This window comes from Homo sapiens, chromosome 6 (assembly GCF_000001405.40).
Source record: "Homo sapiens chromosome 6, GRCh38.p14 Primary Assembly".
Taxonomy (NCBI): Eukaryota; Metazoa; Chordata; class Mammalia; order Primates; family Hominidae; genus Homo; species Homo sapiens.
Window position 1 is genome coordinate 44867135 of NC_000006.12, and position 17923 is coordinate 44885057.

The 17923-nt window shown below is 41.5% G+C and overlaps 1 protein-coding gene across 23 annotated transcripts in view, besides 3 other annotated features; it reads right to left on the reverse strand.

The window, feature by feature from the left end:
* The window catches only part of SUPT3H (SPT3 homolog, SAGA and STAGA complex component), a 568878-nt gene that overhangs the window by 58078 nt on the left and 492877 nt on the right, over positions 1-17923 (reverse strand). The window lies entirely within an intron of this gene.
* Positions 3763-4386: an enhancer, noted in NCBI's record as "OCT4-NANOG-H3K27ac-H3K4me1 hESC enhancer chr6:44838634-44839257 (GRCh37/hg19 assembly coordinates)". NCBI's record gives its function as "activates a minimal SCP1, AML or CMV promoter by ChIP-STARR-seq in primed H9 embryonic stem cells {active_cell/tissue: H9 hESC(primed)}" and the evidence as "EXISTENCE:reporter gene assay evidence [ECO:0000049][PMID:30033119]".
* Positions 11695-12195: an enhancer, noted in NCBI's record as "H3K4me1 hESC enhancer chr6:44846566-44847066 (GRCh37/hg19 assembly coordinates)". NCBI's record gives its function as "activates a minimal SCP1, AML or CMV promoter by ChIP-STARR-seq in naive H9 embryonic stem cells {active_cell/tissue: H9 hESC(naive)}" and the evidence as "EXISTENCE:reporter gene assay evidence [ECO:0000049][PMID:30033119]".
* Positions 15299-15468: an enhancer, noted in NCBI's record as "experimental_91988 CRE fragment used in MPRA reporter constructs". NCBI's record gives its function as "activates a minimal promoter by MPRAs in K562 erythroleukemia cells, with activity observed for both the introgressed and non-introgressed 6:44850255 variant alleles {active_cell/tissue: K562}" and the evidence as "EXISTENCE:reporter gene assay evidence [ECO:0000049][PMID:34662402]".

The following is a 17923-nucleotide window of genomic DNA, read 5'->3' on the forward strand; positions in this document are numbered from 1 at the left end:
ACTTATAAAGGAAGATACACTTTTTTTTTTTTTTTGAAATGGAGTCTCACTCTGTCACCCAGGTTGCAGTGCAGTGGTGTGATCTCAGCTCACTGCAACCTCCGCCTCCTGGGCTCAAGTGATTCTCCTGTCTCAGTCTCCTGAGGAGCTGGGATTACAGGCAGGCATCATCACAGTCAGTTAATTTTCATATTTTTAGTAGATACATGTTGGCCGGGCTGGTTTCGAACTCCTGACCTCAAGTGATCCTCCCGCCTCGGCCTCCCACCTTTTTTAATAAAATTCATGTCACAATAAAGGGCTACCAAATATTCAATCTTCAATTCAGAATGCTTTAAATTTCATCTTCTACTATAGATATGATTGATTCGCTAACATCTAAAAAAGATTCAGCTAGTCAGAATTGCTGTCTCTTTCTAGCAAGTTTTCACTTTTTTTTAAGCAGTAATAAGCAATTCCATCCCCAATGCGGACTTAGAATCACAGCCTACATGTGCAAGTCTATAACAAACCTGCATGACACACAGTAGAATCTCATTGGTTCACACCCTTGCAAAAACCACAACCCCTCAACTTTCAAAAAAGCAAAGGCCTCTTTACCTAAGTGCACATTAGCTGCTGGCTTAGGCAGGCCTTATGACATGGCTGCCTCCCCAGTGGGCAGGCGTACCACAGCAAGGCACTCATTAAGCTATTGAGTTTCATTCCAGTAACCGTTCAAATACATTCTTCATTGTACCATAAAGTATGTTTGTTTGATGCTAGAACTTTGATTTTCCTCCTCCTTCTCTTTTTCTATCCCCCATCCCTACCTTCTCAACCATTTTGGTATTTTTTTTTTTTTCTCCCATGCTAACACACTCACAAAAATCCAGTAATTCTCAATGGATCTCTTGGTCATTAGTGCAAATTAGTGAGGTTTTACTGAATATGCTCAGATTTGATTTGCCAAGTTCTTTTCCCGTTAAAGTTTTAAACCCATGTGTATTTCAAAGGAAATCTAATTTGTAGGTTTCGGATTCATTTACACTCAACTCACAAACGTGGTTCTGTGAGTGCCCCCATAGCTGGTGTACAAGAAGCCACAGGAGCTGGTTTCCCTTCCTCTTAACAAGTTCTTGTTAGAATGTTTGCTTTGAAGTAGGTATTTGGACCATGCTGGAAGCAAACAGAATAAAACCCCAGGAAAACGTAAAGTAAAATTTAAAAACCAAGTTCATGTTTTTCTTGCCCCAATAATTATACTTTTTAAAGAAAAGTCTCTAAGGATGGAACCATCCATTTCAGCCTTTTAAGGATGATGTCACCATCTACCTGCCTGGATGAGGCTGTGTCTCATAATGCTTCTGTGACAAGGTAGTCATCTGCGAGTATATGGCTTTCTCTGCTTAGGTCCTGTCTTGTCCATTTTGTCATGCTATGGACTCTGTTCAGCTGCTAGGCAACCCAACGCTGCTCCACCATTCCCTCTAAGACTCTGCTGCTGGGAGTCTTGAAGGTGCCATTTCTGCCTGTGGGGGTCCCCACACCTATCAATTCCTGCCTGTCTTCCCCTCTTTGGAGCTCCTTAGCTCTGCCTGTTTTCTTGGACTTCATCACAGCAACTACTTCCTGTGTTTCCTGATGTTTGTCCCAAAGACAAACATCAGGATAGATTCCTTGTCAACTCATCTTGGATTCCCAATGCTTCTTGGCTAAAGTCACAACTGCAGACCTCCTGCTGCAGTCACGGAATACCATGGTTTTGCCTCTGTGCTGACAATTTCCCCAATAGCTATGCTATCCCAATGGGTGGACCTACTGCCTACTGCTGACCCTGGCTTCTCTTTGTCACTTTTGATTCCTCTGAATAAAAGAGCCAAATGTCACTGATGTTTCTGTTTCTATTACCCATTTCCACAGTGTGAGACCAGTAGCAGGTAAGATGTGAATGCTGATGAGACTCTGTGCTCACATGGATGGCATGAGCTGTGCCTCAAAAGGCAGAACATCTCTAGCAGTGCCAGCTCTTGTCCAAACATCAAAAGTAAGCAGCAATTCTTAACACTGAGTATAGGCTGCTTTGTCTTTTTTTTTTTCTTTGAAGACTGCCTCCTTGGAAAGACAAATAGCATATCACACCCCAAAGGCTGTGACAATACTGAAAAAGCCCTTCTTTACCAACTGTCTTCTACAAAAACAACTCCTTGGGAGTTCATTTCAAGGGACTCGAGAAAAATAGCCATGCATGCTGCTAAATGCTGGGTGACTCACTGAGGCAGAGGTGAAACTCTGAGCAGTGAACCAAGGGCTGAGATATAAACCACTAAGAAAACCCAGTAGGTTGAAACAGACGATATTGCAACTGTTCTGAAAATCAGCACGTATGTAGGTAATTACTCCTAATATGCCCAGACAACTTCAATGTGTGTATCTGTGTGTCTTATCTATGTAAATGCAAAAAAACCTAAACCAATTCTACCTACCTACCTAAATGCAAAGAAATATAAACCAAGTACACCCATGAATCAGAAAGCTCTTTTCTAACCTGCCCCGAATCCCTTGCTCTAAGACTCCTTGAAAGCATTGTGCCACAGTCCACCGGAAGATATAGCATAATTATCTCATAACCACTAGTTAGGAAGTCCCTAGGAAGTACCTTCTGACTGCTAAGAATAGCTATTCATTTATTTTCACTCATTCACTCACCTATCAATCTTTAACAAGGTGTCAAACATGTCAGGACAATGTGAGGCTCTCTGTATTAGATAAGAAAGAATTTCTAGGGAGAATAGTGGAGATGAGAAACAATATCTCTTTTCATTTCCCTGCCTCTAAATTTACAAAGCAAAAGTAGAAAGCAAATTATACAAGCAAGTTGTGTATGAGGTACCCAAACACCTATAACCAGTCTTTTGCCAATTATCAGCCAATTTTGCTTTTTTTCCCCCAAAGAATTTCAACATTTCTCTTCATTCATCCACTTCCCAACCTGGTCCTTTTTAGTGATTTAACTTTGATCTGGCAAATAATGGCTCTTTCAACAACTAACAAGTTATAAACAGCTTCTACCAATGGAACAGTGCCTCTTTCCTCACAAAACAGCTCTTTCAATTAACATGTATACAGAGCACAGCAAGAGTTAAAATGATGATCAAAAAGAGTTTCATCAGCATAGTATGCTTAAGATTTGTGTATGTCGGCCAGGCGTGGTGGTTCATGCCTGTAATCCCAGCACTTCGTGAGTCTGAGGCAGGAGGATCTCTTGAGGCCAGGAGCTCAAGACCAGCCTGGGCAACACGGTGAAACTCCATCTCTACGAAAAATACAAAAATTAGCCAGGTGTGTGGTGGTGCACACCTGTAGTCCCAGCTACTTGGGAGGCTGAGGTGAGATGAGCACTTGAGCCCAGGAGGTCGAGGCTGCAGCGAGCCGGGACTGTGCTACTATACTCCAGCCTGGGTGACAGAGTGAGACTCTGTCTCAAAAAAAAAAAAAAAAAGAAAGAAAAAGAAAAAGAAGGGGGAGGAGCCAAGATGGCCGAATAGGAACAGCTCCAGTCTACAGCTCCCAGCATGAGCGACGCAGAAGACGGGTGATTTCTGCATTTCCATCTGAGGTACCGGGTTCATCTCACTAGGGAGTGCCAGAGAGTGGGCGCAGGCCAGTGTGTGCGCGCACCCTGCGCGAGCTGAAGCAGGGCGAGGCATTCCCTCACCTGGGAAGCGCAAGGGGTCAGGGAGTTCCCTTTCCGAGTCAAAGAAAGGGGTGACGGATGCACCTGGAAAATCGGGTCACTCCCACCCGAATATTGCGCTTTTCAGACCGGCTTAAAAAACGGCGCACCACGAGACTATATCCCACACCTGGCTCAGAGGGTCCTATGCCCACGGAATCTCGCTGATTGCTAGCACAGCAGTCTGAGATCAAACTGCAAGGCGGCAACGAGGCTGGGGGAGGGGCGCCCGCCATTGCCCAGGCTTGCTTAGGTAAAAAAAGCAGCCGGGAAGCTCGAACTGGGTGGAGCCCACCACAGCTCAAGGAGGCCTGCCTGCCTATGTAGGCTCCACCTCTGGGGGCAGGGCACAGACAAACAAAAAGACAGCAGTAACCTCTGCAGACTTAAGTGTCCCTGTCTGACAGCTTTGAAGAGAGCAGTGGTTCTCCCAGCACGCAGCTGGAGATCTGAGAACGGGCAGACTGCCTCCTCAAGTGGGTCCCTGACCCCTGACCCCCGAGCAGCCTAACTGGGAGGCACCCCCCAGCAGGGGCACACTGACACCTCACACGGCAGGGTATTCCAACAGACCTGCAGCTGAGGGTCCTGTCTGTTAGAAGGAAAACTAACAACCAGAAAGGACATCTACACCAAAAACCCATCTGTACATCACCATCATCAAAGACCAAAAGTAGATAAAACCACAAAGATGGGGAAAAAACAGAACAGAAAAACTGGAAACTCTAAAACGCAGAGCGCCTCTCCTCCTCCAAAGGAACGCAGTTCCTCACCAGCAACGGAACAAAGCTGGATGGAGAATGATTTTGACGAGCTGAGAGAAGAAGGCTTCAGACGATCAAATTACTCTGAGCTACGGGAGGACATTCAAACCAAAGGCAAAGAAGTTGAAAACTTTGAAAAAAATTTAGAAGAATGTATAACTAGAATAACCAATACAGAAAAGTGCTTAAAGGAGCTGATGGAGCTGAAAACCAAGGCTCGAGAACTACGTGAAGAATGCAGAAGCCTCAGGAGCCGATGCGATCAACTGGAAGAAAGGGTATCAGCAATGGAAGATGAAATGAATGAAATGAAGCGAGAAGGGAAGTTTAGAGAAAAAAGAATAAAAAGAAATGAGCAAAGCCTCCAAGAAATATGGGACTATGTGAAAAGACCAAATCTACGTCTGATTGGTGTACCTGAAAGTGATGTGGAGAATGGAACCAAGTTGGAAAACACTCTGCAGGATATTATCCAGGAGAACTTCCCCAATCTAGCAAGGCAGGCCAACGTTCAGATTCAGGAAATACAGAGAACGCCACAAAGATACTCCTCGAGAAGAGCAACTCCAAGACACATAATTGTCAGATTCACCAAAGTTGAAATGAAGGAAAAAATGTTAAGGGCAGCCAGAGAGAAAGGTCGGGTTACCCTCAAAGGAAAGCCCATCAGACTAACAGCGGATCTCTCGGCAGAAACCCTACAAGCCAGAAGAGAGTGGGGGCCAATATTCAACATTCTTAAAGAAAAGAATTTTCAACCCAGAATTTCATATCCAGCCAAACTAAACTTCATAAGTGAAGGAGAAATAAAATACTTTATAGACAAGCAAATGCTGAGAGATTTTGTCACCACCAGGCCTGCCCTAAAAGAGCTCCTGAAGGAAGTGCTAAACATGGAAAGGAACAACCGGTACCAGCCACTGCAAAATCATGACAAAATGTAAAGACCATCGAGGCTAGGAAGAAACTGCATCAACTAACGAGCAAAACCACCAGCTAACATCATAATGACAGGATCAAATTCAAACATAACAATATTAACTTTAAATATAAATGGACTAAATTCTGCAATTAAAAGACACAGACTGGCAAGTTGGATAAAGAGTCAAGACCCATCAGTGTGCTGTATTCAGGAAACCCATCTCACGTGCAGAGACACACATAGGCTCAAAATAAAAGGATGGAGGAAGATCTACCAAGCCAATGGAAAACAAAAAAAGGCAGGGGTTGCAATCCTAGTCTCTGATAAAACAGACTTTAAACCAACAAAGATCAAAAGAGACAAAGAAGGCCATTACATAATGGTAAAGGGATCAATTCAACAAGAGGAGCTAACTATCCTAAATATTTATGCACCCAATACAGGAGCACACAGATTCATAAAGCAAGTCCTGAGTGACCTACAAAGAGACTTAGACTCCCACACATTAATAATGGGAGACTTTAACATCCCACTGTCAACATTAGACAGATCAACGAGACAGAAAGTCAACAAGGATACCCAGGAATTGAACTCAGCTCTGCACCAAGCGGACCTAATAGACATCTACAGAACTCTCCACCCCAAATCAACAGAATATACATTTTTTTCAGCACCACACCACACCTATTCCAAAATTGACCACATAGTTGGAAGTAAAGCTCTCCTCAGCAAATGTAAAAGAACAGAAATTATAACAAACTATCTCTCAGACCACAGTGCAATCAAACTAGAACTCAGGATTAAGAATCTCACTCAAAGCCGCTCAACTACATGGAAACTGAACAATCTGCTCCTGAATGACTACTGGGTACATAACGAAATGAAGGCAGAAATAAAGATGTTCTTTGAAACCAACGAGAACAAAGACACCACATACCAGAATCTCTGGGACGCATTCAAAGCAGTGTGTAGAGGGAAATTTATAGCAGTAAATGCCCACAAGAGAAAGCAGGAAAGATCCAAAATTGACACCCTAACATCACAATTAAAAGAACTAGAAAAGCAAGAGCAAACACATTCAAAAGCTAGCAGAAGGCAAGAAATAACTAAAATCAGAGCAGAACTGAAGGAAATAGAGACACAAAAAACCCTTCAAAAAATCAATGAATCCAGGAGCTGGTTTTTTGAAAGGATCAACAAAATTGATAGACCGCTAGCAAGACTAATAAAGAAAAAAAGAGAGAAGAATCAAATAGACACAATAAAAAATGGTAAAGGGGATATCACCACCGATCCCACAGAAATACAAACTACCATCAGAGAATACTACAAACACCTCTATGCAAATAAACTAGAAAATCTAGAAGAAATGGATACATTCCTCGACACATACACTCTCCGAAGACTAAACCAGGAAGAAGTTGAATCTCTGAATAGACCAATAACAGGCTCTGAAATTGTGGCAATAATCAATAGTTTACCAACCAAAAAGAGTCCAGGACCAGATGGATTCACAGCCGAATTCTACCAGAGGTACAAGGAGGAACTGGTACCATTCCTTCTGAAACTATTCCAATCAATAGAAAAAGAGGGAATCCTCCCTAACTCATTTTATGAGGCCAGCATCATTCTGATACCAAAGCCGGGCAGAGACACAACCAAAAAAGAGAATTTTAGACCAATATCCTTGATGAACATTGATGCAAAAATCCTCAATAAAATACTGGCAAACCAAATCCAGCAGCACATCAAAAAGCTTATCCACCATGATCAAGTGGGCTTCATCCCTGGGATGCAAGGCTGGTTCAATATACGCAAATCAATAAATGTAATCCAGCATATCAACAGAACCAAAGACAAAAACCACATGATTATCTCAATAGATGCAGAAAAAGCCTTTGACAAAATTCAACAACCCTTCATGCTAAAAACTCTCAATAAATTAGGTATTGATGGGACGTATTTCAAAATAATAAGAGCTATCTATGACAAACCCACAGCCAATATCATACTGAATGGGCAAAAACTGGAAGCATTCCCTTTGAAAAATGGCACAAGACAGGGATGCCCTCTCTCACCACTCCTATTCAACATAGTGTTGGAAGTTCTGGCCAGGGCAATCAGGCAGGAGAAGGAAATAAAGGGTATTCAATTAGGAAAAGAGGAAGTCAAATTGTCCCTGTTTGCAGACGACATGATTGTTTATCTAGAAAACCCCATCGTCTCAGCCCAAAATCTCCTTAAGCTGATAAGCAACTTCAGCAAAGTCTCAGGATACAAAATCAATGTACAAAAATCACAAGCATTCTTATACACCAACAACAGACAAACAGAGAGGCAAATCACGAGTGAACTCCCATTCACAATTGCTTCAAAGAGAATAAAATACCTAGGAATCCAACTTACAAGGGATGTGAAGGACCTCTTCAAGGAGAACTACAAACCACTGCTCAAGGAAATAAAAGAGGACACAAACAAATGGAAGAACATTCCATGCTCATGGGTAGGAAGAATCAATATCGTGAAAATGGCCATACTGCCCAAGGTAATTTACAGATTCAATGCCATCCCCATCAAGCTACCAATGACTTTCTTCACAGAATTGGAAAAAACTACTTTAAAGTTCATATGGAACCAAAAAAGAGCCCGCATCGCCAAGTCAATCCTAAGCCAAAAGAACAAAGCTGGAGGCATCACACTACCTGACTTCAAACTATACTACAAGGCTACAGTAACCAAAACAGCATGGTACTGGTACCAAAACAGAGATATACATCAATGGAACAGAACAGAGCCCTCAGAAATAATGCCGCATATCTACAACTATCTGATCTTTGACAAACCTGAGAAAAACAAGCAATGGGGAAAGGATTCCCTATTTAATAAATGGTGCTGGGAAAACTGGCTAGCCATATGTAGAAAGCTGAAACTGGATCCCTTCCTTACACCTTATACAAAAATTAATTCAAGATGGATTAAAGATTTAAACGTTAGACCTAAAACCATAAAAACCCTAGAAGAAAACCTAGGCATTACCATTCAGGACATAGGCGTGGGCAAGGACTTCATGTCCAAAACACCAAAAGCAATGGCAACAAAAGCCAAAATTGACAAATGGGATCTAATTAAACTAAAGAGCTTCTGCACAGCAAAAGAAACTACCATCAGAGTGAACAGGCAACCTACAACATGGGAGAAAATTTTTGCAACCTACTCATCTGACAAAGGGCTAATATCCAGAATCTACAATGAACTCAAACAAATTTACAAGAAAAAAACAAACAACCCCATCAAAAAGTGGGTGAAGGACATGAACAGACACTTCTCAAAAGAAGACATTTATGCAGCCAAAAAACACATGAAAAAATGCTCATCATCACTGGCCATCAGAGAAATGCAAATCAAAACCACTATGAGATATCATCTCACACCAGTTAGAATGGCAATCATTAAAAAGTCAGGAAACAACAGGTGCTGGAGAGGATGTGGAGAAATAGGAACACTTTTACACTGTTGGTGGGACTGTAAAGTAGTTCAACCATTGTGGAAGTCAGTGTGGCGATTCCTCAGGGATCTTGAACTAGAAATACCATTTGACCCAGCCATCCCATTACTGGGTATATACCCAAATGACTATAAATCATGCTGCTATAAAGACACATGCACACGTATGTTTATTGCGGCATTATTCACGATAGCAAAGACTTGGAACCAACCCAAATGTCCAACAATGATAGACTGGATTAAGAAAATGTGGCACATATACACCATGGAATACTATGCAGCCATAAAAAATGATGAGTTCATGTCCTTTGTAGGGACATGGATGAAATTGGAAACCATCATTCTCAGTAAACTATCGCAAGAACAAAAAACCAAACACCGCATATTCTCACTCATAGGTGGGAATTGAACAATGAGATCACATGGACACTGGAAGGGGAATATCATACTCTGTGGACTGTGGTGGGGTCGGGGGAGGGGGGAGGGATAGCATTGGGAGATATACCTAATGCTAGATGATACGTTAGTGGGTGCAGCGCACCAGCATGGCACATGTATACATATGTAACTAACCTGCACAATGTGCACATGTACCCTAAAACTTAAAGTATAATTTAAAAAAAAAATTAAAAAAAAAATTAAACAACATACTCTTAAATAACCAATGGATCAAAGGAGAAACATCAAGGGAAATTAGAAAATACTTTGAGATGAATGAAAATGAAAACACAAAAGCAAAACTGTGCTTAAAATACATAGTTGTAAAAGCCTACAATAAAAATAAAGATCTTCAATTGAAAAAAAAAAAAAAGAAAAAGAAAAAAAAAGTGTATGACATTGTATGAAAATTTTATCTTAAAAGAAAAAAACTGAACATTAGTTAATAACATGCATCCTTAAATGCTGATGTTTGTAACCTACTTAGAAATGCATTAAAAAGATGGGGTAGGTTATACCTCAAGGAAACTGGAAAAAGGATTTGACAGTTATGTCTAGTGTATTTCTATAAATTTGCTTTTAAATATCTTATCCTATGTCAAATAATGTAGCCTTCTTTACTCCTTACAATATGCTGAGCATTTTCCCAAGCCATTCAACATTTTACAAAATGTTATTTTAATGGCTACTTAATATCCCAGTGCATGGGCTGGGCACGGTGGATCATGCCTGTAATCCCAGCACTTTGGGAGGCTGAAGCAGGCAGATCACCTGAGGTCAGGAGTTCAAGACCAGTCTGGTCAACATGGTGAAACCCTGTCTCTACTAAAAGCACAAAAAAATTAGCCAGGCGTGGTGGCGCATGCCTGTAGTCCTAGCTACTTTGGAGACTGAGGCAGCAGAATCACTTGAACCCCAGAGGCAGAGGTTGCAGTGAGCTGCGATAGTGCCACTGCACTCCAGCCTTGGTGACAGAGTGAGACTCAGTCTCAAAAAAAAAAAAAAAAAAATCCCAGTTTGTAACACAAATTATTCAGGTGTGTCCTTACAGGTAAGCAGATTATTTCCACATTTTCACTAACATAAGTGTACTACCAGGAAAACCCTTAAATGAAAATTATTCAATCCCATTTACTTCTTCAGCATGGCTAAAGGGTAGGAACAGTTTATGTGTGTGTGTATCTATATATCTATACATTTTTAAACAGACCTAAGATTGCATTTCTCATGCAAACCTCTCCTGCATCAAACATTATGTTCAATTTTTTTTTGTCAGTGATGTAGACATTGGTTTATCATTGTTTTCATAGAATTCCATTATCAGTGAAGTCTGCCATTCATATTTTTAGATGAATTGTCGGTGTTTGTTCTCCAGTTCTGCACTGTGATGTTGGTATTTTTCTCCTTATTGACTTCCAAAGGTTCTTTGAATAAGCCTGATGTGCTTTCCATCCTGGAACCTGATCCTGTTTGTAAATTCCTTAGTATGTCTAAAAGGAATTTAATATAAAATGTATGATATGCCGTTTCTTCATTTGGTGAAGCATTAAAGCTATTTTGACACCCAACTAAAGGAGTCCTTCCAGGACAGAATGCTAACATGGGCCAAACACTGAACCCTAGCTGCCAGCATTTTGCTTTTAAGTCTAACAAATCCTAAGTAATTCATATGCTGTTGTAAACAATTAGGTATGATCCTAAATAGTGATAAAGTAATATAGAGCAGTGTTGTAACAAGGTTTTATTTGAAATTGTTTTCTAAAATGTGATGCATTACTGATTTTGACACTGTTTGAAGCAAAGTCCATCATCAAATGTGATGCTTATGATGAGAAGATACATGTATTTGTAACGTTTAATGGAACCTAAACTCTTTTAAAAACAACGTGCCATTTGTGGGTATGTTTCTAATCTCCTATCATAAATCGTGAGATAGGCCTTTTTTTGGAGATATTTGGGCTTGCACTAAAGCCTTTTTTTTTTTAAACTAATGAGAGTTTTGAGAAATAGAAGATCGTGTTGAAGTTACTGTGTATGTGTGTGAATCCCTTGCTTAAAAATATTTCATCCATTGGTTAGGTTGTGGAGAAACTGGAACACTTACGCATTGCTCGTAGTAATATAAAATGGTATAGCTGCTCTCGGGTGTGGATGGCAAGATGGCTGAATAGGAACCACTCTGGTCTACAGCTCCCAGTGAGATTAATGAAGAAGGCGGGTGATTTCTGCATTTCCAGCTGAGGTACCCAGCTTATCTCATTGGGACTGGTTAGACAGTGGGTGCAGCCCACGGAGGGCAAGCCGAAGCAGGGTGGGGCGTTCCCTCACCAGGAATAGCAAGGGGTCAGGGAACTCCCTCCCTTAGCCAAGGGAAGCCGTGAGGGACCATGCTGTGAGGAATGATGCATTCCAGCCCAGATAACTATGCTTTTCCTAGGGTCTTCGCAACCCTCAGACCAAGAGATTCCCTTGGGTACCTACATCACCAGGGCCCTGGGTTTCAAGCACAAAACTGGGCAGCTGTTTGGGCAGACACCGAGCTAGCTCCAGGAGTTTGTTTTAATACCCCAGTGACACCTGGAATGCCAGTGAGACAGAACCATTCACTGCCCTGGAAAGGGGGCTGAAGCCAGGGAGCCAAGTGGTCTAGCTCAGCAAATCCCACCCCCATGGAGCCCAGCAAGCTAAGATCCACTGGCTTGAAATTCTTGCTGCCAGCACAGCAGTCTGAAGTCGAGCTGGGACATTCGAGCTTGGTGGTGGGAGGGGCGTCCACCATTACTGAGGCTTGAGTAGGCAATGTTCCCCTCACAGTGTAAGCAAAGCTGCCTGGAACTTTGAACTGGGCAGAGCCCACTGCAGCTTGGCTAAGCTGCTGTGGCCAGTCTGCCTGTCTAGATTCCTCCTCTCTGGGCAGGGCATCTCTGAAAGAAAGGCAGCAGCCCCAGTCAGGGGCTTACAGATAAAGCTCCCATCTTCCTGGGACAGAGCATCTAGGGGAAGGGGTGGATGTGGGCACAGCTTCAGCAGACATAAATATTCCTGCCTGCTGGTTCTGAAGAGAGCAGTGGATCTCCCAGCACAGCACTCGAGCTCTGCCAAGGGACAGGCTGCCTCCTCAAGTGGGGCCCTGACCCCCATGCCTCCTGACTTGGAGACAACTCCCAGTAGGGGCTGACAGACACCTCATACAGGAGAGTTCTGGCTGGCATCTGGCGGGTGCCCCACTGGGATGAAGCTTCCAGAGGAAGGAACAGGCAGCAATCTTTGCTGTTCTGCAGCCTCTGCTGGTGATACCCAGGCAAACAGGGTCTGGAGTGGACCTCCAGCATACTCCAGCAGACCTGCAGCAGAGGGGCCTGACTGTTAGAAGGAAAATGAACAAACACAAAGGAATAGCATCAACATCAACAAAAAGGACATCCACTCAAAAGCCCCATCTGAAGGTCACCAAAATCAAAGACCAGAGGTAAATAAATCCACGAAGATGAGAAAAAAGTAGAGCAAAAAGGCTGAAAATTCCAAAAACCAGAATGCCTCTTCTCCAAAAAATCACAACTCCTCGCCAGCAAGGGAACAAAACTGGATGGAGAATGAGTTTGACGAACTGACAGAAGTAGGCTTCAGAAGGTGGGTAATAACAAACTTCTCCGAGCTAAAGGAGCATATTCCAACCCAAAGCAAGAAAGCTGAGAACCCTGAAAAAAGGTTAGAGGAATTGCTGTCTAGAATAACCAGTTTAGAGAAGAATATAAATGACCTGATAGAGCTGAAAAACACAGCATGAGAACTTCATGAAGCATTCACAAGTATCAGTAGCCGAATCGATCAAGCGGAAGAAAGGATATCAGAGATTGAAGATCAACTTGAAGAAATAAAGTGTGAAGACAACATTAGAGAAAAAAGAATGAAAAGGAGTGAACAAAGCCTCCAAGAAATATGGGACTATGTGAAAAGACCAAACCTACACTTGATTGGTGTACCTGAAAGTGACGGGGAGAATGGAACCAAGTTGGAAAACACTCTGCAGGATATTATCCAGGAGAACTTCCCCAGCCTAGCAAGGCAGGCCAACATTCAAATTCTGGAAATACAGAGAACACCACAAAGATATTCCTTTAGAAGAGCAACTTCAAGACACATAATCATCAGATTCACCAAGGTTGAAATGAAGTAAAAAATATTAAGGGCAGCCAGAGAGTAAGAAAGGGTTACCGACAAAGGGAAGCCCATCAGACTAACAGCAGATCTCTCTGCAGAAACCCTACAAGCCAGAAGAGAGTGGGGGCCAATATTCAACATTCTTAAAGAAAAGAATTTTCAACCCAGAATTTCATATCCAGCCAAACTAAGCTTCATAAGTGAAGGAAAAATAAAATCCTTTACGGACAATCAAATGCTGATTTTGTCACCACCAGGCCTACGTTACAAGAGCTCCTGAAGGAAGCACTAAATATGGAAAGGAACAACCAGTACCAGCCATTGCAAAAACATACCAAATTCTAAAGACCATCATCAACTAATGGGCAAAATAACCAGCTGGCATCATAATGACCAGATCAAATTCACACATAATAATATTAATGTAAACAGGCTAAATGCCCCAATTAAAAGACACAGACTGGCACATTGGATAAGACCCATTGGTGTGGTGTATTCAGGAGACCCATCTCATGTGCAAAGACACAAAAAGGCTCAAAATAAAGGGATGGAGGAATATTTACCAAGCAAATGGAAAGCAAAAAAAAGCAGGGGTTGCAATCCTAGTTTGATAAAACAGACTTTAACTAACAAAGATCAAAAGAGACAAAGAAGGCCATTACATAATGGTAAAGGGATCAATGCAACAAGAAGAGCTAACTATCCTAAATATATATGCACTCAATACTGGAGCACCCAGATTCATAAAGCAAGTTCTTAGAGATCTACAAAGAGACTTAGACTCCCACACAATAATAGTGGGAGACTTTAACACCCCACTGTCAATATTAGACAGATCAACAAGACAGAAAATTAACAAGGCTATTCAGGACTTGAACTCAGCTCTGGACCAAGTGGACCTAATAGATATCTACAGAACTCTCCACCCCAAATCAACAGAATATACATTCTTCTCAGCACCACATTGCACTTATTCTAAAATTGATCACATTATTGGAAGTCAAACACTCCTCAGCAAATGCAAGAGAACGGAAATCATAAACAGCCTCTCAGACCACAGTGCAATCAAATTAGAACTCAGGATTAAGAAACTCACTAAAAACTGCACAGCTACATAGAAACTGAACAACCTGCTCCTGAATGACTACTGGGTAAATAATAAAATTAAGGCAGAAGTAAATAAGTTCTTCGAAGCCAATGAGAACTAAGACATGACGTACAAGAATCTCTGGGACACAGCTAAAGCAGTGATTAGAGGGAAATTTATAGCACTAAAATGCCCACAGGAGAAAGTGGGAAAGATCCAAAATCGACACCCTAACATCACAACTAAAAGAACTAGAGAAGCAAGAGCAAACACATTCAAAAGCTAGCAGAAGCCAAGACATAACTAAGATCAGAGCAGAAGTGAAGGAGACAGAGACACGAAAAACCCTTCAAAAAAATCAATGAATCCAGGAGCTGGTTCTTTTGAAAAGATTAACAAAATAGACTGCTAGCAAGACTAATAAAGAATAAAAGACAGAAGAATCAAATAGACACAATAAAAAATGATAAAGGTGATATTACCACGGATCCCACATAAATACAAACTACCATCAGAGAAAACTATAAACACCTCTACGCAAATAAACTAGAAAATCCAGAAGAAATGGATAAATTGCTGGACACATACACCCTCCCAAGACTAAACTAAGAAGAAGTACAATCCCTGATTATATCAATAACAAGTTCTGAAATTGAGGCAGTAATTAATAGCCTACCAACCAAAAAGAGTCCAGGACCAGATGGATTCACAGCCGAATTCTACCAGAGGTACAAGGAGGAATTGGTAACATTCCTTCTGAAACTATTCCAAACAATAGAAAAAGAGGGACTCCTCCTTAAATCATTTTATGAGGCCAGCATCATCCTGATACCAAAACCTGGAAGAGACACAACAAATAAAGAAAATTTCAGGCCAATATCCCTGATGAACATCAATGCAAAAATCCTCAATAAAATACTGGCAAACCGGATCCAGCAGCACATTAAAAAGCTTATCCACCACGATCACGTTGGCTTCATCCCTGGGATGCAAGGCTGATTCAACTTATGCAAATCAATAAACGTAATCCATCACATAAACAGAACCAATGACAAAAACCAAATGATCATCTCAATAGATGCAGAAAAGGCCTTCGATAAAATTCAACACTCCTTCATGCTAAAAACTCTCAATAAACTAGGTATTGATGGAACGTATCTCAAAATAATAAGAGCTGTTTATGACAAATCCACAGCCAATATCATACTGAATAGGCAAAAGCTGGAAGCATTCCTTCTTAAAACCAGTGCAAGACAAGGATGGCCTCTCTCACCACTCCTATTCAACACAGTATTTGAAGTTCTGGCCAGGGCAATCAGGCAAGAGAAAGAAATAAATGGCATTCAAATAGGAAAAGAGGAAGTCAAATTGTCTCTGTTTGCAGGTGACATGATTGTATATTTAGAAAACTCAATCATCTCAGCCCAAAATCTCCTTAAGCTGATAAGCAACTTCAGCAAAGTCTCAGGATGCAAAATCAATGTGCAAAAATCACAAGCATTCCTATACACAAACACAGAGCCAAATCATGAGTGAACTCCCATTCACAATTGCTACAAAGAGAATAAAATACCTAGGAATACAACTTACAAGGGATGTGAAGGACCTCCTAAAGGAGAACTACAAACCACTGCTCAAGAAAATAAGAGAGGACACAAACAAATGGAAAAACATTCCATGCTTATGGATGGGAATAATCAATATCATGAAAATGGCCATACTGCCCCAAAGTAATTTACAGATTTGATGCTGTCCCCAATCAAGCTACCATTGACTTTCTTCATACAATTAGATAAAACTACTTTAAATTTCATATGGAATCAAAAAAGAGCTCATATAGCTAAGACAGTCCTAAGCAAAAAGAACAAAGCTAGAGGTATCAAAATTGTAACTATACTACAAGGCTACAGTAACCAAAAAGCATGGTACTAGTACCAAAACAGATATACAGACCAATGGAACAGAACAGAGGCCTCAGAAATAACACACCACACATCTACAACTATCTGATCTTTGGCAAACCTGACAAAAACAAGCAATGGGGAAAGGATTCCCTATTTAATAAATGGTGTTGGGAAAACTGGCTAGCCATATGCAGAATAATGAAACTGGACCCCTTCCTTACACCTTATACAAAAATTAACTCAAGATGGATTAAAACTTAAACATAAGACCTAAAACCATAAAAACCCTAGAAGAAAACCTAGGCAATACCCATAAGCATGGGCAAAGACTTCATGACTAAAACACCAAAAGCAATGACAGCAAAAGCCAAAATTGACAAATGGGATCTAATTAAACTAAAGAGCTTCTGCACAGTGAAAGAAACTCATCAGAGTGAACAGACAACCTACAGAATGGGTGAAAATTTTTGCAATCTATCCATTTGACAAAGGGCTAATATCCAGAATCTACAAGGAACTTAAACAAATTTACAAGAAAAAAGCAACACCATCAAAAAGTGGGCGAAGGATATGAACAGATACTTCTGAAAAGAAGACATTTATGCGGCCAACAAACGTGAAAAAAAGCTCATCATCACTGGTCATTAGAGAAATGCAAATCAAACCATAATGAGATACCATCTCACGCCAGTTAGAATGGTGATCATTAAAAAGTCAGGAAACAACAGATGCTGGAGAGGATGTGAAGAAATAGGAACGCTTTTACACCGTTGGTGGGAGTGTAAATCAGTTCAACCATTGTGGAAGACAGTGTGGCGATTCCTCCAGGATCTAGAAGCAGAAATACCATTTGCTCCAGCAAATACCAAAGGATTATAAATCATTCCATTATAAAAACACATGCACACATATGTTTACTGCAGCACTACTCACAATAGCAAAGACTTGGAACCAACCCAAATGCCTATCAATGATAGACTGGATAAAGAAAATGTGGATCAGGAGCCAAGATGGCCGAATAGGAACAGCTCCGGTCTACAGCTCCCAGCATGAGCAATGCAGAAGACGGGTGATTTCTGCATTTCTATCTGAGGTACCGGGTTCATCTCACTAGGGAGTGCCAGACAGTGGGCGCAGGTCAGTGGGTGCAGCACACTGTGGGCGAGCCGAAGCAGGGCGAGGCATTGCTTCACTTGGGAAGTGCAAGGGGTCAGGGAGTTCCCTTTCCTAGTCAAAGAAAGGGGTGACAGACGGCACCTCGAAAATCGGGTCACTCCCACCCTAATACTGCGCTTTTCCAATGGGCTTAAAAAACGGCGCACCAGGAGATTATATCCTGCACCTGGCTCGGAGGGTCCTACGCCCACGGAGTCTGGCTGATTGCTAGCACAGCAGTCTGAAATCAAACTGCAAGGCGGCAGTGAGGCT